The sequence below is a fragment of the Homo sapiens genome, chromosome 16 (genome assembly GCF_000001405.40).
Source record: "Homo sapiens chromosome 16, GRCh38.p14 Primary Assembly".
Classification (NCBI taxonomy): domain Eukaryota; kingdom Metazoa; phylum Chordata; class Mammalia; order Primates; family Hominidae; genus Homo; species Homo sapiens.
In genome coordinates, this window is record NC_000016.10 from 61,801,241 (window position 1) to 61,826,553 (window position 25,313).

Sequence of the window (25,313 nt, forward strand, 5' to 3'; positions counted from 1 at the left end):
ATTTATAACTAATAGCCAGGTCTAGTATACCACACTGATAATATTTCAGGCAACTTAACTTGCCACTATGAGGTTTGCATCTCAAAATGTGTAACAAATATATATTTATCTAAGGGAAGACACTGTAGGTTGAGAAGTGTGCCCTGTTCTATCCAATATGGTAACCACTGTGGATTTGGGAGCTGGACAGCTAGCGGTGTGAATTCAGTAAAATTGGAGGAGCCAAGATGGCCGAATAGGAACAGCTCCGGTCTACAGCTCCCAGCGTGAGCGACGCAGAAGACGGGTGATTTCTGCATTTCCATCTGAGGTACCGGGTTTCTCTCACTAGGGAGTGCCAGACAGTGGGCGCAGGCCAGTGGGTGCGTGCACCATGCGCGAGCCAAAGCAGGGCGAGGCATTGCCTCACCTGGGAAGCGCAAGGGGTCAGGGAGTTCCCTTTCCGAGTCAAAGAAAGGGGTGACGGACGCACCTGGAAAATCGGGTCACTCCCACCCGAATATTGCCCTTTTCAGACCGGCTTAAAAAGCGGCGAACCATGAGATTATATCCCACACCTGGCTCGGAGGGCCCTACGCCCACGGAGTCTCGCTGATTTCTAGCACAGCAGTCTGAGATCAAACTGCAAGGCGGCAGCGAGGCTGGGGGAGGGGCGCCCGCCATTGCCCAGGCTTGCTTAGGTAAACAAAGCAGCCGGGAAGCTCCAACTGGGTGGAGCCCACCACAGCTCAAGGAGGCCTGCCTGCCTCTGTAGGCTCCACCTCTGGGGGCAGGGCACAGACAAACAAAGAGACAGCAGAAACCTCTGCAGACTTAAGTGTCCCTGTCTGACAGCTTTGAAGAGAGCAGTGGTTCTCCCAGCACACAGCTGGAGATCTGAGAACGGGCAGACTGCCTCCTCAAGTGGGTCCCTGACCCCTGACCCCCGAGCAGCCTAACTGGGAGGCACCCCCCAGCAGGGGCACACTGACACCTCACACGGCAGGGTATTCCAACAGACCTGCAGCTGAGGGTCCTGTCTGTTAGAAGGAAAACTAACAAACAGAAAGGACATCCACACCGAAAACCCATCTGTACATCACCATCATCAAAGACCAAAAGTAGATAAAACCACAAAGATGGGGAAAAAACAGAACAGAAAAACTGGAAACTCTAAAACGCAGAGCGCCTCTCCTCCTCCAAAGGAACGCAGTTCCTCACCAGCAACGGAACAAAGCTGGATGGAGAATGACTTTGATGAGCTGAGAGAAGAAGGCTTCAGACGATCAAATTACTCTGAGCTACGGGAGGACATTCAAACCAAAGGCAAAGAAGTTGAAAACTTTGAAAAAAATTTAGAAGAATGTATAACTAGAATAACCAATACAGAGAAGTGCTTAAAGGAGCTGATGGAGCTGAAAACCAAGGCTCGAGAACTACGTGAAGAATGCAGAAGCCTCAGGAGCCGATGCGATCAACTGGAAGAAAGGGTATCAGCGATGGAAGATGAAATGAATGAAATGAAGCGAGAAGGGAAGGTTAGAGAAAAAAGAATAAAAAGAAATGAGCAAAGCCTCCAAGAAATATGGGACTATGTGAAAAGACCAAATCTACGTCTGATTGGTGTACCTGAAAGTGATAGGGAGAATGGAACCAAGTTGGAAAACACTCTGCAGGATATTATCCAGGAGAACTTCCCCAATCTAGCAAGGCAGGCCAACGTTCAGATTCAGGAAATACAGAGAACGCCACAAAGATACTCCTCAAGAAGAGCAACTCCAAGACACATAATTGTCAGATTCACCAAAGTTGAAATGAAGGAAAAAATGTTAAGGGCAGCCAGAGAGAAAGGTCGGGTTACCCTCAAAGGGAAGCCCATCAGACTAACAGCGGATCTCTCGGCAGAAACCCTACAAGCCAGAAGAGAGTGGGGGCCAATATTCAACATTCTTAAAGAAAAGAATTTTCAACCCAGAATTTCATATCCAGCCAAACTAAGCTTCATAAGTGAAGGAGAAATAAAATACTTCACAGACAAGCAAATGCTGAGAGACTTGGTCACCACTAGGCCTGCCCTAAAAGAGCTCCTGAAGGAAGCGCTAAACATGGAAAGGAACAACCGGTACCAGCCGCTGCAAAATCATGCCAAAATGTAAAGACCATCGAGACTAGGAAGAAACTGCATCAACTAACCAGCAAAATCACCAGCTAACATCATAATGACAGGATCAAATTCACACATAACAATATTAACTTTAAATGTAAATGGACTAAATTCTCCATTTAAAAGACACAGACTGGCAAATTGGATAAAGAGTCAAGACCCATCAGTGTGCTGTATTCAGGAAGCCCATCTCACGTGCAGAGACACACATAGGTTCAAAATAAAAGGATGGAGGAAGATCTACCAAGGAAATGGAAAACAAAAAAAAGGCAGGGGTTGCAATCCTAGTATCTGATAAAACAGACTTTAAACCAACAAAGATCAAAAGAGACAAAGAAGGCCATTACATAATGGTAAAGGGATCAATTCAACAAGAAGAGCTAACTATCCTAAATATATATGCACCCAATACAGGAGCACCAAGATTTATAAAGCAAGTCCTGAGTGACCTACAAAGAGACTTAGACTCCCACACATTAATAATGGGAGACTTTAACACCCCACTGTCAACATTAGACAGATCAATGAGACAGAAAGTCAACAAGGATACCCAGGAATTGAACTCAGCTCTGCACCAAGCGGACCTAATAGACATCTACAGAACTCTCCACCCCAAATCAACAGAATATACATTTTTTTCAGCACCACACCACACCTATTCCAAAATTGACCACATAGTTGGAAGTAAAGCTCTCCTCAGCAAATGTAAAAGAACAGAAATTATAACAAACTATCTCTCAGATCACAGTGCAATCAAACTAGAACTCAGGATTAAGAATCTCACTCAAAGCTGCTCAACTACATGGAAACTGAACAACCTGCTCCTGAATGACTACTGGGTACGTAACGAAATGAAGGCAGAAATAAAGATGTTCTTTAAAACCAACGAGAACAAAGACACAACATACCAGAATCTCTGGGACACATTCAAAACAGTGTGTAGAGGGAAATTTATAGCACTAAATGCCCACAAGAGAAAGCAGGAAAGATCCAAAATTCACACCCTAACATCACAATTAAACGAACTAGAAAAGCAAGAGCAAACACATTCAAAAGCTAGCAGAAGGCAAGAAATAACTAAAATCAGAGCAGAACTGAAGGAAATAGAGACACAAAAAACCCTTCAAAAACTCAATGAATCCAGGAGCTGGTTTTTTGAAAGGATCAACAAAATTGATAGACCACTAGCAAGACTAATAAAGAAAAAAAGAGAGAAGAATCAAATAGACACAATAAAAAATGATAAAGGGGATATCACCACCGATCCCACAGAAATACAAACTACCATCAGAGAATACCACAAACACCTCTGCGCAAATAAACTAGAAAATCTAGAAGAAATGGATACATTCCTCGACACATACACTCTCCCAAGACTAAACCAGGAAGAAGTTGAATCTCTGAATAGACCAATAAAAGGAGCTGAAATTGTGGCAATAATCGATAGTTTACCAACCAAAAAGAGTCCAGGACCAGATGGATTCACAGCCGAATTCTACCAGAGGTACAAGGAGGAACTGGTACCATTCCTTCTGAAACTATTCCAATCAATAGAAAAAGAGGGAATCCTCCCTAACTCATTTTATGAGGCCAGCATCATTCTGATACCAAAGCCGGGCAGAGACACAACCAAAAAAGAGAATTTTAGACCAATATCCTTGATGAACATTGATGCAAAAATCCTCAATAAAATACTGGCAAAACGAATCCAGCAGCACATCAAAAAGCTTATCCACCATGATCAAGTGGGCTTCATCCCTGGGATGCAAGGCTGGTTCAATATACGCAAATCAATAAATGTAATCCAGCATATAAACAGAGCCAAAGACAAAAACCACATGATTATCTCAATAGACGCAGAAAAAGCCTTTGACAAAATTCAACAACCCTTCATGCTAAAAACTCTCAATAAATTAGGTATTGATGGGACGTATTTCAAAATAATAAGAGCTATCTATGACAAACCCACAGCCAATATCATACTGAATGGGCAAAAACTGGAAGCATTCCCTTTGAAAACTGGCACAAGACAGGGATGCCCTCTCTCACCACTCCTATTCAACATAGTGTTGGAAGTTCTGGCCAGGGCAATTAGGCAGGAGAAGGAAATAAAGGGTATTCAATTAGGAAAAGAGGAAGTCAAATTGTCCCTGTTTGCAGATGACATGATTGTATATCTAGAAAACCCCATTGTCTCAGCCCAAAATCTCCTTAAGCTGATAAGCAACTTCAGCAAAGTCTCAGGATACAAAATCAATGTACAAAAATCACAAGCATTCTTATACACCAACAACAGACAAACAGAGAGCCAAATCATGAGTGAACTCCCATTCACAATTGCTTCAAAGAGAATAAAATACCTAGGAATCCAACTTACAAGGGATGTGAAGGACCTCTTCAAGGAGAACTACAAACCACTGCTCAAGGAAATAAAAGAGGATACAAACAAATGGAAGAACATTCCATGCTCATGGGTAGGAAGAATCAATATCGTGAAAATGGCCATACTGCCCAAGGTAATTTACAGATTCAATGCCATCCCCATCAAGCTACCAATGACTTTCCTCACAGAATTGGAAAAAACTACTTTAAAGTTCATATGGAACCAAAAAAGAGCCCGCATCGCCAAGTCAATCCTAAGCCAAAAGAACAAAGCTGGAGGCATCACACTACCTGACTTCAAACTATACTACAAGGCTACAGTAACCAAAACAGCATGGTACTGGTACCAAAACAGAGATATAGATCAATGCAACAGAACAGAGCCCTCAGAAATAACGCCGCCTACCTACAACTATCTGATCTTTGACAAACCTGAGAAAAACAAGCAATGGGGAAAGGATTCCCTATTTAATAAATGGTGCTGGGAAAACTGGCTAGCCATATGTAGAAAGCTGAAACTGGATCCCTTCCTTACACCTTATACAAAAATCAATTCAAGATGGATTAAAGATTTAAACGTTAGACCTAAAACCATAAAAACCCTAGAAGAAAACCTAGGCACTACCATTCAGGACATAGGCATGGGCAAGGACTTCATGTCCAAAACACCAAAAGCAATGGCAACAAAAGACAAAATTGACAAATGGGATCTAATTAAACTAAAGAGCTTCTGCACAGCAAAAGAAACTACCATCAGAGTGAACAGGCAACCTACAAAATGGGAGAAAATTTTCGCAACCTACTCATCTGACAAAGGGCTAATATCCGGAATCTACAATGAACTCAAACAAATTTACAAGAAAAAAACAAACAACCCCATCAAAAAGTGGGCAAAGGACATGAACAGACACTTCTCAAAAGAAGACATTTATGCAGCCAAAAAACACATGAAAAAATGCTCATCATCACTGGCCATCAGAGAAATGCAAATCAAAACCACAATGAGATACCATCTCACACCAGTTAGAATGGCAATCATTAAAAAGTCAGGAAACAACAGGTGCTGGAGAGGATGTGGAGAAATAGGAACACTTTTACACTGTTGGTGGGACTGGAAACTAGTTCAACCATTGTGGAAGTCAGTGTGGCGATTCCTCAGGGATCTAGAACTAGAAATACCATTTGACCCAGCCATCCCATTACTGGGTATATACCCAAAGGACTATAAATCATGCTGCTATAAAGACACATGCACACGTATGTTTATTGCGGCATTATTCACAATAGCAAAGACTTGGAACCAACCCAAATGTCCAACAATGATAGACTGGATTAAGAAAATGTGGCACATATACACCATGGAATACTATGCAGCCATAAAAAATGATGAGTTCGTGTTCTTTGTAGGGACATGGATGAAATTGGAAATCATCATTCTCAGTAAACTATCACAAGAACAAAAAACCAAACATGGCATATTCTCACTCATAGGTGGGAATTGAACAATGAGATCACATGGACACAGGAAGGGGAATATCACACTCTGGGGACTGTGGTGGGGTGGGGGGAGGGGGGAGGGATAGCATTGGGAGATATACCTAATGCTAGATGACAAGTTAGTGGGTGCAGCGCACCAGCATGGCACATGTATACATACATATGTAACTAACCTGCACAATGTGCACATGTACCCTAAAACTTAAAGTATAATAAAAAAAACAAAAAACAAAAAACAAAAACAAACAAACAAACAAAAAATTCAGTAAAATTACTTCATTACTACAGAGTTTCAGTGTGCGTATCCATTATAGACATGAAGAACTGCTGTGCAGATTGCCCTTCAAAGGAGGATGCCAGAGATGTGAGGGGCGTGGTCAGGAGACAGCCTCCAGCTATCCACTACTTAGGGTCCATCTCAGTTTCAGAAAATCCCCACTCCAGAGGTTTTCTGAAGACTAAGCAAACAGAGATATAAAGGCCCTACCACTTTGGCATGACGTAGTACTCCTCTGATAAGCAACACTGATTCCAAAGGAAACTACTAGTTTGGGCCAAGTTTTGGCTTGGATTGAGGTGCAGTTTGATTTCACTGTCTGTCCATCATGCTCTTGCTCCTTTCCTTTCATAGGTGGCAATCCCTAACAAATGGCTTTCATTTCAGACTCCATCTACTTTCAAACCTGTAACATATTTGTTTAATGGGAATAAGAATATGTGTAATTCAGGGAGTTAATGCTACAAAGTGTAAATGTAAATGAAATATATGCAAAAAGCACTGTACTAAAATGCTAAATATGCATGAATAAAGACACATAAAATATTTTTCATATCCTTTGCTGAAAACCTAGTGTCATACAGAAGAATGCATATTCAAGTTTGATGTACAAACTACAAATCTATTCTAAGTCAGTTTCTTGTTCTTGCTTCTTCATCCATTTTGGTAGAGAAATGCTACTGTAATCAAAGAATGTGTGAAGAGATTACAGTGAAGGGACTAGGGTTTGGCTAAGGCAGTCAACAGCCTCAATTCCAAACCCCTGTATTATAGCCATCACTGAGATCAGAAGAAGAAAATGAGCAGGTAAAAAAAAAATAGAAATTTATAATAAAACCATGAAGGAAACAAATTCCTCACTCTAAGCAGGGAAACATCACAGTATTCTTCAGGGTACCCACTGCATCCTGCATTATTGGTTATGAAAATTTCCTCAAAAGCTAGGCTGAGGAAGCCAGCTTTTTCTGGCAGATTCAACATGGGTGCATGCTGTCATGGGCCCCATGAGTACTAAGATTCCAAGGGCTCTAAGGCAATGATGGCAATAACAATTCTCATTGCAGGTAGCTGGATCCTAATACAAAAAAGTTATTTGACTACTAACATTCTTTAAATTATTTTGAGAAATTTATTTTAGGGAGCTTTGAGACAGAGTAAAATCCTGGAATGATATGGGAGCTGACTGTTCAACTTACTGATGGAAATTCAAACTTCCAACAGTCTTGTGTAGGGGGTGACAAAGTTTTTTGTAAAGAACGTATTTTAGGTTTTGCAGTCCACAGTGTTCCCAGCACAACAATTTCAACTCTGCAGTTGTAAGCATAAAAGGATGACGGTGGCTGTGTTCCAATAAGACTTTACTAGACCAGGCGCAGTGGCTAACGCCTGTAATCCTAACACTTTGGGAGGCCAAGGCAGTCAGATCACCTGAGGTCAGGAGTTCAAGACCAGCTTGATCAACATGGAGAAACCCCCGTCTCTACTAAAAATACAAAATTAGACGGGCATGGTGGCCCATGCCTGTAATCCCAGTTACTCGGGAAGCTGAGGCAGGAGAATCGCTTGAACCCGGAAGGTGGGGGTTGCTGTGAGCCGAGATCGAGCCATTGCACTCCAGCCTGGGCAACAAGAGCAAAACTCCATCTCAAAAAAAAAAAAGACTTTACTAAAAAAAAACAAAAAAAGTAACAGGCCGTATTTGGCCCACAGGCTTACCCCTGGCCTAGTGTAATGGAGTCAAAGTATTTACTAACGTCATGGGGTTTTGTCCCTCTAGTAAGCTCTTTAGAAAGAAAAAAAGGTGACTTTCCTGCATGTTCTCACTCATAAGTGGGAGTTGAACAATGAGAACACATGGACACAGGGAGGACATCACATACCTGTGCCCATCAAAGGGTCAGGGGCAAGGGGAGGGAGAGCATTAGGACAAATACCTAATGCATATGGGGCTTAAAACCTAGATGACAGGTTGATGGGTGCAGCAAACCACCATGGCACAAGTATACCTATGTAACAAACCTGCACGTTCTGCACATGTATCCCAGAACTTAAAGCAAAATTTAAAAAGAAAAGAAAAAAGGTGAAATTTATATAGTCATAGACAACACAGTCTATTGGCAGAAAGCATCATGATATTTTCATTGCTCAGTGCACTGGAATTTAGAGGACAGATCAGGACAGGAACCTGACTGCCCTCTTTTAAATCAGCATGGTTCTCAGCATACTTTAGATGCTGTGCAGAGCAAAACACAAGGTTCCAAAATCAAAGATGCTACTTACATTCTCCCCTTAGAGGGTGCAATGCACCTTAGCAACTCACCTGTGAAGTCCTATAGCAAAGACCGTGGAATTCAAAGTGACCCGGTCACCCTATCTTTAGTCCCAGTAGTGATTATTAGAGCTCCATTAGGGATTTGCTGCCCTTGGAGAAAGACTGTGTATCTATTTTTCAAATTTAAACGGCATAAATGCACTTTTATATCATAAAAAATGTTTTGGTAAACACTGGTTTGAGGCCTCTGTATGGAAAATTTATAGGAAGATACAATTGTGAGCCAACTGCAAGTGAAGATGCTATTTAGAGCCACACATAATGAAATAAACCCCTTAGTTATGAATCAGTTATTATATTTCACTGAACTCCAACTGTTTCTTTCTCACTGCTTAATTTCACTCTAGCTTTTGTTATTATGCCTAAAGAAACCATTTTAACATTTTCTCGCATGCACTTTGAGTATCAAAAATTCCATCTACAAGTTTTCAGCTTTTTGCCTCTAATTGCTCCACTGGTTGCTCTAACTGCTTTAATAAATAATATTATCTGAGTTCTGCTAGTTCCAGAATTCTAAGGTCCCTGCATCACATATTATTTATTATTCCTCTAAGGAAAAGAAGGAGCCTTTTTCTATCCAAATAATTTCTTTATAGTCAGAGAGGAGAGAGAGAGAGAGAGAGAGAAAGACAGGAAATGAAGGGAGAATAAAAATGTGAGAAAACAATAAATAAAATCTACCTTCAAATTACTACAAGGTTCTCTACAGGGTGAGATATTTTCACTATAACATTATTGGCATCCTTGGATATCTATGAACTTCTATTCAAAATTCATTAGGAAAGGTTTTCCTCCATGTGACCTTAAAGCTCTACAGTTTGATTTTGTTTACCATTTTCAGAGAGCATGTATAAAAGACTAGTTAGATAAGGCTGAGAGCAGTAGCTCACGCCTGTAATCCAAGAACTTTGGGAGGCCGAGGGGGGCGGATCAGAAGGTTAGGAGTTTTGAGACCAGCCTGGCCAACATAGTGAAACCTCATCTCTGTTAAAAATACAAAAAATTAGCCGGGTATGGTGGTGCATGCCTGTGTTCCCAGCTACTCAGGAGGCTGAGGCAGAAGAATTGCTTGAACCCAAGAGGCTGAGGTTGCAGTGAGCCGAGATTGTGCCACTGTACTCCAGCCTGGGTGACAGAGTGAGACTCTGTCTCAAAAAAAAAAAAAAAAAAAAGAAGACTAGTTAGATAACTGTGAAGGGCTTTGGTTTTTCTGGGGATATTCAGCCAACCTCTGTATTATAGGCTCACAAAGACAGATATTGTGCCTTTCTAGAAATTTCTTGACAAAATGTAGGTTCAGCTGACAATAATTGGACAAAATGTCAGTCAAAATATATATGAATGAATAAATGAATTAATGTGAATGAATGAATGAATGAGTTTCTGAATATGTGACTTAATGAATTAATTACCATTAGTTGAATTCGCAGGTATAGTGAGTTTTTCGAAACAGTGTTGGACGATGTGCTGTTTTCAAATTGGGGACAATCAAATTTTTATTTGGCCATGAAAGTACAAGAATTAAATGAAACAAGTTTTAATTATTTAAAAATACTAGGTTCTTATACGCTGTTGGTGGGAATGCAAAATGGTGGAGCTGTTATGGAAAATAGTATGGAGGTTCCTCAAAAACTTAAAAACAGAATCACTATATGATTCTGAAATCTCACTTCTGAGTATTTATCCCAAAGAATTGAAATCAAGATATTAAAAAGATATTAGCACTCCTATGTTCATAGTATTTACAATAGCCAAAATGGGAAAACAACCTAAACGTTCATTGATGAATGGATAAAGAAAATGTGGTATAGAGAGACATTGAAACACTATTCAATGTGTTTCTCCTTTAAAAACAAGGAGATCCTGCAATACGCAACAACATGAATGAATGTTAAGGACATTCTACTAAGAGATATAATCCAGTCACGAAAGGACAAATACTGCATGATTCTGCTTTTATGAGGTATCCAAAATAGTCAAATCCAAAGAATCAGAGAGGATTGTGGTTGCCAGGGACTGGGGAAAAAGAAAATGGGGCATTGCTAATCAACAGGCATAAAGTTTTAGTTATGCAAAATAAATAAGTTCTAAAGATGTGCTGTAGAAGTTGCACCTATTGTTAATAATACTATATTGTGCACTTATAAATCTTATAAGATAGTGGATCCCTTATTAAGTGCTCTTTACACACACAAACACACCACAAACACACACACAAACAAACATGCTCCTTACAGAAATTGAGAGTTATTGCAAGACTGAGGGAATCAATCAATACACCATCTACTATCTAAATTAATTCCAAGTTTTCTACAGTATGAAATATTTTCACTTTAGCATCCTTAGATATCATGAATCTAAAGACTGCTTTCAGGAGAATTGCTGATGAACAGCCACCCTGGTAACTCAGGTGAATTATAAAAATGCCAGAATACCAGTAGGAAAAAAAAATGCAATGCTTCTGTGTTGAGTGGGTATTTATATTCAAGAGAGGAATTAGGACAACACAGCACTGTGGCCACAATGATCTTATGTTGACCTCCTACTCTGCCTGCTGAATGGCCATCATTTCCACTTTTAACTTAAGCAGCTCATGCAGTCTTATTCAAGGTGAATGCTTGGGAAACAATAGAAAGTGATTTCCTTAGAAAGAATCACATACCATCTCAAAGCCATGGTGACACCCAATACACAATTGAAATAAGTTTATGAAAGGAAAAAAAAAATGGCCCACAGCAGATTTACATGAAAGAACTGACTTATTTCTAGTATCTGTTCTGGGCTAGGAATGTTTACCTTAAATATAAATAATTTGCTGCATATAACAACTTTTCAGAGTGTCTGTCACGAAGTATGGGCTCAATAAACACGACTGTCATCATCGTATTCCACTTTCAAGAATCCATAATCTAGAAGAGCGTGCATAGGTATAGTGGCCAATGATAAGCAGAAACTTGGATTTAACCTCTCGTCCTGCGTTTACGTGCTATATCACTAAGTACAGGAAGCTTATCCTTTTTAAGTTTCCTTCTTTATAAAACTGAAATCATACTAAGTATTTCTTGGTGTCATTTGTAAGAATTACGTGAGATAATACATAATAGGAGCTTAGTATGGTGTCGGATTCATCAAATAAAAATAACATTGTTTTCTCCTTTACCTTGCCCATCACAATCTGGTTCACAGCCAATAATAACAAACCCATACCAGGTGGCTAGGCAGATGAGCAAAGATCACAGCATTTATACTCTGGTTAATTCCACAGATTTGGTTTATTTTTCTTCTTTCCTGATATTCAGTGAGGTCATTTAGAGAATGAATAGTCAATTATTTCCATTATAATTGGTCCTACTCAGTCATCCTAAAGCTTATAGGCCCAGTTGACGAGTTACAGAGATCACAAGGAAAAGAAAGGACTGGGGATAGGCATGGCACCATCATAAGACCCAAGTGCACACCCCAGTTCCACTTCTAACTATTTGTGTGATACTGGGCAAGTTAGTTCTTTAATCCTCAGGTTTCACATCTCTTAAATGGGTATAACCGAGACAGCCAAATGCCTAAGCTGATAAAAGGCCCTTGGAGAATCTCCGGCCTGCCCCGCAAGTGTTTACATCAGATGCTCTTGTGCAGATGAGGGAACTGGCCCAGGGCTGTGTCTGAGCATGTCTACATGCGCACTGGGGGAACAGGGTGGAGCCACGGGCAGGGGGAGAAGCCTGGTCTCCAGTTCCGTGTCCTAGCCGGGAGGATTCAATCTGTGAGGTGGGGAGCCTGTTAGCATGACTCTTATCTTGCTTTGCTGTTTTTTTTTCCCTTTTTGCCCAATAAAATCCTGTCCTACTCACCTTTTAATGTGTCTGCGTACCTAAATTTTCCTTGTTATGTGATAAGAACCCAGCTTTAGCTGCAACATAATGACTCCACATATATATACTAGAAGTGTTAGAGAATGAAACAAGTATATGTTGCACAGGTCCTGATATATACCAAGCACTCACTAGTAACAACATCCGTAGCAGTAGCAGGAGAAAATAAGACTAAATGAGATCAATTAGACTATTTAGCCTATAGCTGTCAAAGAAAAAACACAATTCTGCACACAGCCACCTAGATGAATCTCTACTAAAATAAGTTTTAGGTTCTTAATTTGCATTTAAGATGTGAAATTGATGGTGGCTTACCTTTTATTAACTGGTAACCCTACTAGCTACCACATATTTTATTCAATATTGTCACTTAATCATCTCATTAACACTGCAAGAAAGATGATATTATCCCATACGGAGGAGAAAACTGAATCTCAGAGAATTCCAGAGACTAGTTCTCCGACTGGGAAGTAGTAGTGATATGATTTCAACCTTAGTCTCCCTAAATTCAAAATATGTCATATTTTAAATAATTTACACAACTTTATTTTACATTAGTGAAAGACATAGTATTGCAGAAAGTAGCAAGGAACTAATTAATGTTCCTGCAAGTGAGAGGGTAAGATGACGGATTTTTCTCTATGTCACTTTTCATTTTCCCCCGTAAAGGAATATACAGACAAATACATACAGATAGAGATATAGTAGTAGGTATAAGAAGTCAAAAATACATGATATTTCTAGCTTGACAATGTGCTCTAAAAAGAAATTGAACCGCGTGAGAAGCCAACCAACCAACAAATAACTGTATGTTTTAGCATGGCAGATGCTGGGATAACTGCCTATTTCTTGCTGGATAGCAAATTAAACGTTATCCTAAAAGATGGATACATTCTTGTCAGTGTATAAAATACAACAGTCCTAAAGAGAAAATAATGCATAGCTATGTGTTACCCAATAATTCCCTGAATATCCATATCCTCTGGTTCTGTCTAAAAAGGTTAAATGGCTCTAAATCTGTCTGCTAGACTCATAAGGAACTATGCATTGCTCTGGCTAGTCAGGAAATTTAATTTTCTTCTGAAATTAACCAATTGTGCATAGAGAGAGGGAAGCTGCTCTCCATGATCCAACTGGGGTGGAGGTGGGGGCAGAGGACTGTAGAACTGCAGAACAGATGTTGAAAAATATGGTTTGTGATTCTTAAGTTCTCATCCCATGGAGCCAAGCCAGGTTTAATAAAAAATGTGTGGGCTCCCCCTTCTGAATGACATGCCAAAGGCTGCTGTAAATGCTTTGAAACAGCATTTGTCCCTTCTTTGGGTAGAACCATAGATGCTGAAGAACTAGCACTTGCCTGACATCTATCAGAAGCACAGATATGCCTGTGTCATCAAATAGTGCTTTATCTGTCCATCTCTTCCTGGTAAAAACAGTCTCAAATCCCCTTTAGCTTTCCTGAAAATGAAATGCTTCTAAGCTGGACAGTTATTTCTAAACAGCCTCAAGCTTCCTCTACACAAACTTTCCTGCCAGTAACAGTAATAAAAGTAGCAATAGCAATAATAATAACTAGCAACTACAATGAGAATCTTCTCTTGATTCCCTGTGAACTGGAATTAGTATCAGTAAATCTCCATTTTTACATCAGTAAAATGAATAGATTATAAAATGTGCAACCATATGTGGACAACTATGAACCTGGATTTATAGCTAGCTCTGCCAATAAGATGCTACTTTTACTATGGCATGAAAGTTCCTTAAGCCTCATCTCTAGATGATTAAGATCGTGTCTCTGCACAGCCAGTCCATTCCCACTGGTACCATGTAGTCCATGTTGGGAGCTTATATTATTGTGCTGATATCTGAACCCTTATTTTCCCTAAGGACCCTTGGCTTGGCAGACTCTGAAGCCCTTACATGCTCCTGGCTGACAAGAGTAGAAACCTTGTCAAATCAAGCACTAAAACCGGTCCTCTGATTGGTGTCTCAGTTGAACCAATCTCATTTCCTCCCTTCACATTCTTTCTCCTGCTTGGAGATGTAAAGGATGTGGCAACTACTCCTTTTTGAGTTCCTTTCAGAGGAAATTGAGAAACATAGGAACAGGGCAGATTCATCCACTCAACAAATATCATTGTCCCCATTAATGTCAGCATTCCAGCATAAAGCCATTGCATAATTTCACTATATTTTCCGGAAATTAATGCCAATGTAAATTTTTTTTTGGATATTCCTCCCATTGCATTCAACATTGGCCCATTAATAGATATAATTTTCTTAGCCAAATACCCTTATTTTTTGCATATGTCTATAGTTTGTGAAATTTCTTTAGAACTGAGAATGGCCAATGGACCATTTCTCAAATCCCCAGGTAGTTTCATCTTCTTAGAGGTTAGACTCTTCTGCAGGAAGAGTCTTCTTTGCATACTTATTGGCTGTAGTCTTATTTGTTATTCTGAATTTAGAAATGATTTGTACTTAAAAACAAAAAGTGCTCTTCTGGGTCTGTAAATAATTTTTGTACAAATTCAACTTATTTGGGGTGCTGATTGTCCTGCAAGGTTTTAATCTCAGCCTCATAGTCTCAGCACCCTTGTGAGTAACAGGAATTTAATACATTTTTTAAAAAATCGAATAAATAAACCGACAGATAACTCACTTTACCAGGGTTTCCCCAAATGAAGTAATTGGAAGCAGGTCTGCCCTAGTTATTTGTGACTTGTAAATTGAAAGGGTTTGGTATGAGCTGACATCAAACTCAGAAATCAGCTGGACAATTCTTTAAAATTGTATTCCTCCATCTACTTCTTACTCTCTATCTCCTTGATTTTGCAACAAATATTTGTAAGACAATATTTGAAATCCACACTCAAAACACATCATTAGCCAACACTTCACCCTTGGAGACCAGCATAGAAGTTATAGATTTTCAGTGTGCTTTCAGGAGAAAGCTATTTAGCTGGAGAACCTGTACTGTCATTTGGGTGACTGGAAAAAGAAAAAAGATGTGTACAGTACAACAGAAAAAAAAAATCGAATGGAGCTTCATTTCTAAAAAAGACAGAAAAGCTTTAATAAAGAATTATTTCGCATCCTGGGGAAAAATTTTGAGCAGAAAAACTATAAACAGAGGGTATTTTTGAAATGGCAGAGAAAGATTTTTATCTAGGAGACACCAAACCAGATATGCTGACCTATCAGAAATGTCCAAGAAGTAATAAAAAGATCATTTCAAAGCCAAACACCAAATGCAGAAATAAAATAGGAGCCTCTTAATGCATTGACACTATGGTCTCGTGCCTCTAAATTCTAATATATAATTCACCATAACTGTCAAAAGAGACAGAGGACAAACTAGCAATGCTTCCCCAAAGCTAAACAAACAAACAAAAAAAGCACTAACAAACAAAAACATAAAAATAACAAGATCCACCCAAATGTATTGCAAACATTTGCAACTTTGCATTTTCATAGAGCTCTCTAAGAGCTGGAATAGCTGTATTCATCTTATTGTTCCTGGCTCTGGGCTCTATGTAGCACTTAGTAGGCATACGTGTGCGTGTACACACCACACACACACACACACACACACACACACAGTATGTGCCAACCAACATTATTTGGTCATGTGAGCATAGTCCCAAGGAGAGCCCCACAGAAGGTACAAGCAAAGGCATTTTTCACTGATCTGCTTGTCATTTGCAGTAGCCAGTATTCCTTTTAAAATAAAAATACCTTATAGGACTGGAAGTGATATCAGGGTCACGAGCAGTCACTTGCCCAATCACGGAGTTTAGAGCAGCATTTTCATGAACTTCAAGTAGGTAAGTCGGTGAAGAGAAGACCGGAGGCTCATCAGCATCTTCAACCACGATTTTGACTGTCGCCGTGTCTTTAAAGGGCCCCCTGCCACTGAAGCGTGGGTCAATATGGACATTGGCTGCCTCTACCTTTAGCGTATAGGATTTTTTGGTCTCAAAGTCCAGAGGCTGTTAAGAAATGACAAAGATAAATGCTTCTCACTAATGACCACAGCAGCAAGAACAAATGAGTATAATGCTGATGGATGAAAGTTATGTGCATTTAAACCCATTTGTGAGCCTTAATGGGATCACTCTCCAGTCCCCCAGATTCAACCTGTAAATTTTATGGGCATTTATTTATGTCTGTTTATTATATAAGCTCAGTGAATCTAATCTCCTATTGTTTTGTTTTGCTCATTTCACTTGGAATTCACAAAATATTCACAGTCATGAATTGTGCCATCAAAATTTCACTTCAGAGTCATAATAAAATTTTACTAGTGACAGCATGACCTGCATACTAATCAGCCACTTAATCAGGCCTCTGCTGGTGGGAGATAAGGCGACATCGAACACAATCTCTGTCTGGGAAGAATATTTTATCATTTCTGCAACAGAGTGTGAAATGTAAAGAACTAGAAATAATCATTGTTTAGTCCAAGGAGACATTATAAAGCATAATTTAGCACTAATCCCCACAAAGAGTATTTTCTGATTTCACTTTAAAGCATTGCTACTCTACTGATCATGTGGTTAAAATGAGGTTTATTATTTTTTAGGACATTCTTAGAGACTCTCTATTATGAATTTATGCTATGAGGCAGGTGGGCATGTAAAGAAATATGTGCACCGATACATATGTATGTACTTGTGTTTATATTTAGAAGAAGAAATTATGTGAGCAGTATAAATAGATAACTGAATCTAATTGTGCCCCCACAAACCACTTAAAAGCAATTTGAAATTACCTCATTGCACCATTACTGACAATATTTCTGACATACTAATACTTCATTCCCTAAAACTCTGAGAGACTTTGGTCAATGACCTAGGTAAGTAAAGCTAGGTAAAAAGAATTCGCCTTCAATAAGCCAGAAGCCCACGTGCATTAGCACCTTTATAGCCCAATTTTTGGCAACTCATAATACTTCAGATTTCAAGAATGCAAGTCTGTCGAGGTTCAAAGAGACAGTATACATCTGCATTACAAATTTCTCATAAGAAATAGAACTTTAAATAGGCAATGAAGATTTTTAAAAATAAACTAGAAGACAAACTGGCACCAGTGAACTCTTTCAGAATTCCAGTACAAGCTTAATTATATATTCTTATTTCAAACTATTGTGTTGGTTTTCACATTTAAATTCTGATCTAATGGGACTTGGCTCCTTTTTTTTTTTTTTTTTCAATATTTTCTAGTAAACCAGGCAGGCACTCACTTTACTATCTATTCTAAAATTACTAAGCACATGCATCCATGAATAGATCATGCAACATCAGCATATTCACAATTTGCCAATCACCTTTACTGTAACAATTTTGCAATTTCAAATTCTTCACAAACATCGTTAAGTATAACAGATTATGTTCTGCTTAATTCCAGCTCAAGATAACAACAATGAACCCAGACACATTCTGGTGTCCCAAGAATTTTATTGGACAAAAAAGAGGGCCTATAAATTGTAGAAATACAACTCCTTTGCACTGTTCTCTAGGGTAAAATACACATTTTACTTGGTGTCAAGGTGTATAGTATATGCTTCCAAGTTTATGAATAACAGCAAATAAAAATAAAGTAAATGGCTAATTGTTTCAGTTTATAACAGCACTTTATGGCAAAAAAAATGGGAATAATAACAATAAAAATGACATTAGGAATCATTAGTCAAGGAAAATGTGGCTCTGGGTTATTCAATAATTGACTCAAATATTGTACTCTACTTTATTTCAAACATGGCTTTTTAAATGTTTTGTAGTTCTTAATGCTAAACTCAACCAGGATTTTGGTAGAAAGATAGCATTGCTCAACAGAGAGTTAAAATAAATGTAGACATCTTTTTCAAAATTGATTTTTAAAAATATGTTTTATAAAAAAGAATATCCAGAAAACTTTAGGTCTCCAGTGTTAAGATCTCTTCAGTGGGGGCGATTTTTAGAGCAAGACCATTGGAAATATGTCTCGTGTAACATGATGGAGATTCAGATATGACCTTACAGTCATATCTACATAATGCTGATGAAGAAAGTGAAAAAAATTATTGACTCCCAATAGTGTGGTCCACCAACTACCTTATTTGAGAACAAGCTAATCCATTTAAAAGCTAGTTTGATCTACTTGATGACAAAGGTTTGAAGAACAATATTGAAGAAAATAATCAGGATGAGGATCAAAGAGTATTTTCCTTGCAAGTGTTTTGTGACTATAAAGAATGAACTATGTTCTACACATTTCTTATGAGTGTAGGTATTATGATGAGAACTATAAATGGAAAATGCTGTACAGAATTGTTTACATCTACCATAAAAACAAGAGATTGCTAACAAAAGCAGCCTCAAATTTTCCTACATTATTTGTACTTGTTATGGAGATCTTTCTTTTTTCAATGGTACCTCCCTATCCAGAAGCAAGGGAACGATGAGATTCATTTCCCATAATGCTCAAACCTCTGAGCCATAGTTTGGAGTATACAATGGTAGCAGGGTTGGCCCTGTCCTTCAGGGACTAGAGAAAGCCAGGATAACTGAACCTGAATGTTCTGCCTGTTTGGTTTTTTTTTTTTTTTTTTTTTTTTTTAGTTTCCATGAATGTACAGCCTTCAATAAGGACTTGGGAAGCTTCAGTGTATTTGGGGAAGATATTTCAGGAAGCAAGAGTTCAAACATGTGGAGAGTTATATACAGAAAGACCAAAAGCCACTGAACTTGTCACCTCTGTGGGCAACTGAGGCCTGTTCTTACTGAGAATCCTTTTACAATCTTAAACAATATGACTCAGAATAGTTTCTTCAAACAATAGTAACTGTCCACCAATTTTTCTCCCCCTTTGGTTGAGGGCTGCCTTCACAGGATGTTGACTTCCCCACATAATTGAAGTGCCCTGTACAAGAAGTCAGTAAATTCCTGTGGTTATGGGTAATAGGTAAGTTGGAGGACAAGCACTATTATGGTAGCTGTTTACTAGACCTTTAGCAGAAATGTGAAGGGGGCCCAAGAGATAAGAGTTGCCAAAAGGACTGTACTAGTTATCTTGTCTTACTGCTCAAAGCTAAACACCTACCAGCTGTGCAATTCTGCCAGGAACTCCACACAAGTCCCTCAACTTTAAAACTCAAGTTTCAACAAGATATTTTGAAGATGAACAAAAGCTTCCTTAGCTTACTTTTCTTAGCCTTATAATGCCATCCTGGGCCTGGGCATCAGAAGTGATTTCAAAAAGTGCTGTTCCATCTCCATCGATGATATCATATGATGACTGTGCATTTTCACCAATATCCTGATCATTGGCCTTCACCCTTCCTATTGCAGTGCCAAGAACCACATCTTCCGGTACTGAGAAGTGATACAGGCCTTTAAAAAGAGGAGAAACAATGAGAGTCACACAAATTCCAACCATTCATTCATTCATATGGCAAATATCTTTTGGGCACCTCCTTTGTTCTGGGCATTCCTATAGATGCTACCAATAAAGTGATAGAAAAGACAGAAATATCCGTTTCCCTTCTGGAATGTTCAGTCTTTTAACTGAATCAGAGAAAAACAGTTCCCAGAAGAAGGCATGATCCCTTTTCAAGGCTCTTCTGAGATATGAAACTTACTCAACCATATGTTTACCAAGTGTATATTTGGAGCAGTTATATCAAGACTATTAGGGAATCTATGTGTATATTTTTTCCTTTTTGCTGTATAATCACATTTACTGCCCATGGGGATATTCGTCGTTGCCAACATAAAATATTAAGCTAATTTCAGCACAGAAAGATGCAATGTGTAACACACTGGAAGTCACTTTTGAACTTACCTTTATATTTACAGACTTTTAGACCATTTTTGATAAAATTCAATTACTGAACTTCTGCTGTGCCCTGCAGCAAGCTGTTCAGACACATGAAACACTCCTCTTGTTGCTAAAGTCCTCATTGCTCTAAAGACAAAAATCCTGCCTTCAACACTTCCTAGGCAAAATACAATCAAGTGTATCTTCACTCTCCTATGGGGGCAATAAAGTGTGTCTAATTAGTGTCATTAGTCCATTTTAACTCAAGTCACTTTAGTTGTTATACTGCTGTCACTCACTTTCACTGGTGTAGAGGAAGCTGTTGGTGTCCCAATCATAACCCCCGGCCATTGTTACTGTAGTGTACACCTGTCTTACATCTAACTGCCACTCCTGCATTTCTTTGCCTGAGGGTTATTGCGGGCCTTTAGAACCTATTTTGCCCACTGAGTGTCAGGCCAAAAATGCCAGAAAATTAATGCCTCCTGCAGAAGCAGCCCTCAAAGACTCACAGGAGTTAGTATATAAAATTCTAGGTCTCTCCATTCTGTGGCAGGATAACTTTGAGTTTTTTCTTTTCTTTTCCTTCTTTACAATGGTCCAGAGTTTCTCCAATAAGATAAAGTTCCAGTAACCCACTGTAGTAACTGGCTCAAAAACGCACCTTTTTTTTTTTTTTTTTTTTTTTTTTTTTTTTTTTTTTTTGGCTATTTCTCTCTCTGTCTCTCTCTCTCCTTTCTCCACTGGCATTTATTGGTCCCATCTCCGAGTTAAACTTACAATCAAATTCTTGTCTCAGGGTCTGTTTCTGGGGAACCCAAACTCAAAAAACCAAAAAGTTTTACTCTCCTTGCAACCACAACAAGGGAAAATTAAACATTCAATGACCTAAAAACCCAAAAGGAAAAATCAAATCTGGAGAACATTACCTAATTCTCATTCGAGCTCAAATCCACTGAGTCCCTTGGATAAACTAAGGCTCATTATACTCAACATAACAGTAAGGTTTCTTCTAGCACTAACACCCCTTTATTTAACAATGGGATAAAAACATCTCTCTTAGAATCACGAAGTTATAGGACTGGGGATTGAAATATTTTCCAAATAGTTCTGCCACAAGGTAGGCACTGAAAATCCTCACTGCAAGCGAAGTCTCCCAGTTTTCTCATAATTGGTGTAATGATTCCATTTTCCACAAACTGTATATTCCAAGTAAGGTTTGAGATGATCCCTTTTGGTATGCTTATTAAATAAATAAGACAGCAAGGGGCCGCGCCGTGCTGCTAGTCCTACATGGGGAGTCTTGGGAAGCCAAGCAAATGGAACATTCTTTTAACCATTCCTATTCTGTGCCTGCTCCTCATCTCTATCAGTGTGATCACAGTTAATAGTTATTATCTCTAAGAAAAGGCACACGTTTGAAATTGATCTGCCATTATTTAATTGAATAATCATTTTCTTATAATGAAATATGGCATCTTGCAGTATTCACTGTAATGGCAACTGCAAAGGCAAAAAAAGTGAGGGAAAGAGTAGAAGAAATGGTGTTCTCCATTTCAATAATTTTGTTTAAAAAGGTTGCATTGTTGTCTGATTTATGAATTGCCAGATGTAAAAATTCTAAAATTCTTAATGAAAATGCATCTCCTCTATCCTTTCTAGCTTGGAATTTCTTCAGATAAATCATCAAAGATACCTCAAATGTGTCATTTTCAAGCTCCATACACATTTCTCTCTTTGTCACTCTCTCCCTGTCTCTCCCCACCCCACCTTCCCTCCTTTAACTCTTTAAAAAACAGATTTCCTATGGTGTTTTCTATACCAACAAATAGCACCAGCATGCATCTAATCTTTCATGTTAGAAATATTATCATTTATCTTCCTCAACTGAAAATGCAATCTTTCCTTAGACTTTTATCTTCTGTGACTCAACTATGCATCACACTCATACACTTTTCTCTGCATCCAACACAACTACCCTTGCTTGCCAGGGCTACCATCACCTTTTATGTGAATGATTGCAAATAACTCTTTAACTGGCTGCAAAGCAGAAAAAAACATTGGAGGAAGGCCAGATTTAATTTCTTTTCAGTTTCGCTGGAACCACAGCCTATCACTCAAGCTGCAATTTAAAATCTTTAAATGGCCTCCTAATGATCTTAGGATAAAGGTCCTCATAGGTCCTCATACTTAAAATGGCTTTTGAATCCAAGTATGGCTAATTTCAGTCTAATCTAACTCTCCAGACTCTTGCTGCAGCACTTTCCCCTGGCACTCTCTGCTCCAGCTGCAGTGAAATTATTTCCATTCCCATACATGGCTGTACACCATCCTTCCACAGAGCTTCTTTTGTTTTATTATTGACTATATTTAAGGTGTACACTGTGATGTTTTGATAAAAGAAACCACTGCCTTGGAAAGATGTCTGCACTTTCATGTTCATTCCAGGATTCTTCAGAATAGCAAAGAAATGGACATCACCCAAGTATCCACTGACAGATGAATGGCTAAAGAAGTTGTGGTGTATATTTATACAATGAAATATTATTCAGCCTTTAAAAAGGAGATCCTGTCATTTGCAACAACATGAATGAACCTAGAGGATATTATGTTAAGTGAAATAAGCCAGATCAAAGGAAAAAAAGCCCTGCCTGATCTTACTTATATGTGGCATCTTAAAAATAATAATAATAATAATAAGTATGTAGACACAGGGCTTTTAAACATCCTTTTAAGCTGCACTATTCATCCTCCCTCCCATGGCTTCACCTTGTTCCAACTAATTGTTTTCACTTTTTCATGTTTCAATTCAAGAGTCCCCATGTCAGAAAGGCCTTATCAAATCATGTCTCTGTCATATTACTTGAATAAATGCTCAGAAGAAAGTGTTCGATGAGAGTAAAGAAAGTTGTCAAATAATTATTGTCTCCCTGATTCTTTCATGTTGGCTGCCTAGAATGCACGCTGTTGAAATTTCCAAGGCAGAGTATGGCTTTAGCAGGGAAGAGTGGAGTCTTACTGATGTCCTCCCAGTTGCAGGAAGAAGGAGTGTAAATTTTGCAGCAAGCCTACTGCATATTTGTCTTCCCTACCTCGGGCACTAGAGATTTGATTTCCTTTCTAAAACAAATGGGGCTAATAATAGAGCAATATCTGAGCTTCATTTGCATCACCCTCTCAAGCTTTCATAAAGAGAAATAGCAGGCAAAAGAGAAAGGAGTGCACAACTTGCAGTCAGACATACTGGTTCTAATTCTTACTTACTATACGCTTGATATTTGGAAATGGTATCAACTGTTTTGTAATCTGTAAAATGGGAATAAGTTTAGTACCAAAATCATGCCATACCTGGCACATAATAAGCCACTCAATAGTTGCTGTCAGGTTTTTAATTATCACTAAAAATTATAATATAAATTCAAATGGAAACATCATACCAAGATTCTCATCCAGTGCAGGAAATTAACTTACTCTGTGCAAATTTTGGAGGATTGTCATTAACATCAGTAAGAGTCACTGTAAGTGTCGTGGTCCCAGACAGGCCACCAGAGTGTCCACCCATATCTTTGGCTTGGATAACAACCAGGTACTCCTCCTTGGCTTCTCTGTCCATGTTGGGAAGGGCAGTTTTTATAATAGCTGAGGGGGAAAATGGAAGAATGACTTTCAGTCACAGAGCTAATTCAAAAATGAAAGTGTTAATCTCACACATGCACACATACACACAAGCATACACCAAGTCCCTAGTCAGATAATTTTCTGTGTTCTTCTGACATTTGATTGGTGTGTGCCTGTTACATCAATGAGAAAGACTGTGGTCATAGACATTTACAGATAATTTGCAAAAATATATTTTATAATGTATAAAAAGAACTTGCAAAAATATACATTAGAAAGTAAACTGAATGGCATCCCTTGCCTACCAAATTATAATGTATATCATAACACAGTCTCGTCCACCCCAGAAAACCCTGGGAGTGAAAGAATTCTCCAATTTATCACAGATCTCAATTCCCCCACAGGAGGAGTAAATACACACATAGCTTGAAGGCTCTGAGGTCAAAGATAAATTATTCTGAAGTTCACAGATACATTTGAGAGATGAAATAAATAAATGTGTCATTAGAATCAACTCAGATGAATAAAATACCAATCAGAATTAATATAGTCAAGTGTCTTAAGTTCTAATCTACTGTTCAGCTATATTTATATTTTAATTCTTTAGATACATCTTCTCTTTGTAAAAGTAGCAAATAGTTTAGAAAAATAGGAAGATATAGGAAAAGGTGTATAAAATATAAAATTACATAAAATACGATAAAATTATCACTGCTCAAATCTTAATGTTTTTTCTTCTGATATATATTCAGCGTTTCATGTGGGTTTGTCTGTTTGTTTCACTGGTAATTTAATATTCTTGTTAAAGATCCAAAATTTTCTTAGATCCTCCTGAAGTTTATTTTGAAAATCAAAAATCCTTATTTAGCTCTCTACCTCCACATATTTTTTTCATAGATAACGCTGACATTTTGAGGCGCAAAATTATAAGGCCATGATATGTACATACCCAGAAATGTGAGTATAAACATTTAACCACAGACATGATCATGATGTAGGCAGCATTCTGAGACTTTCTTTTTCTCACAGGAGATGTTTTTGAAAAACTTCCTTGTCACTGCATAGAAGTTCACCTCATTACTTCCTACAGTTGCATAATTTTTCATTGTACAATATACTATACATGGCTAAGGCATTCTCATATTGATAAATATTGCAGTTATTTCATATTTTCCCATGTCAAACAACTGACAGATATATTAGTATGATAATATTGTATTTTTTTATTTCCTGCATTTTTACTTAACTCTGTCATAAGATGCCCCTTCCCCATATTGCTAAATGTCCATAATAAAACTTATTTTGACTAGTCCAGAATACTTCTATTGAATTGATGTGTGTTACATTTCTGGTCAAGCTAAAAGGAAAATGTCCAGATTAAAGACAATTTAACCC

General features: G+C 38.4%; 1 protein-coding gene across 5 annotated transcripts in view; it reads right to left on the minus strand.

Moving 5' to 3' along the window:
• The window catches only part of CDH8 (cadherin 8), a 389,189-nt gene that overhangs the window by 153,991 nt on the left and 209,885 nt on the right, over window positions 1–25,313 (minus strand). For all 5 annotated transcript variants that reach the window (NM_001796.5, XM_005255760.5, XM_047433482.1 and 2 more), the window contains exons 5-7: window positions 23,772–23,939; window positions 19,686–19,873; window positions 16,239–16,492 (exon numbers count right to left, since the gene is read on the minus strand). In NM_001796.5, coding sequence (NP_001787.2) covers window positions 16,239–16,492; window positions 19,686–19,873; window positions 23,772–23,939 — 610 coding nt within the window. The remainder of the gene's footprint in view (window positions 1–16,238; window positions 16,493–19,685; window positions 19,874–23,771; window positions 23,940–25,313) is intronic.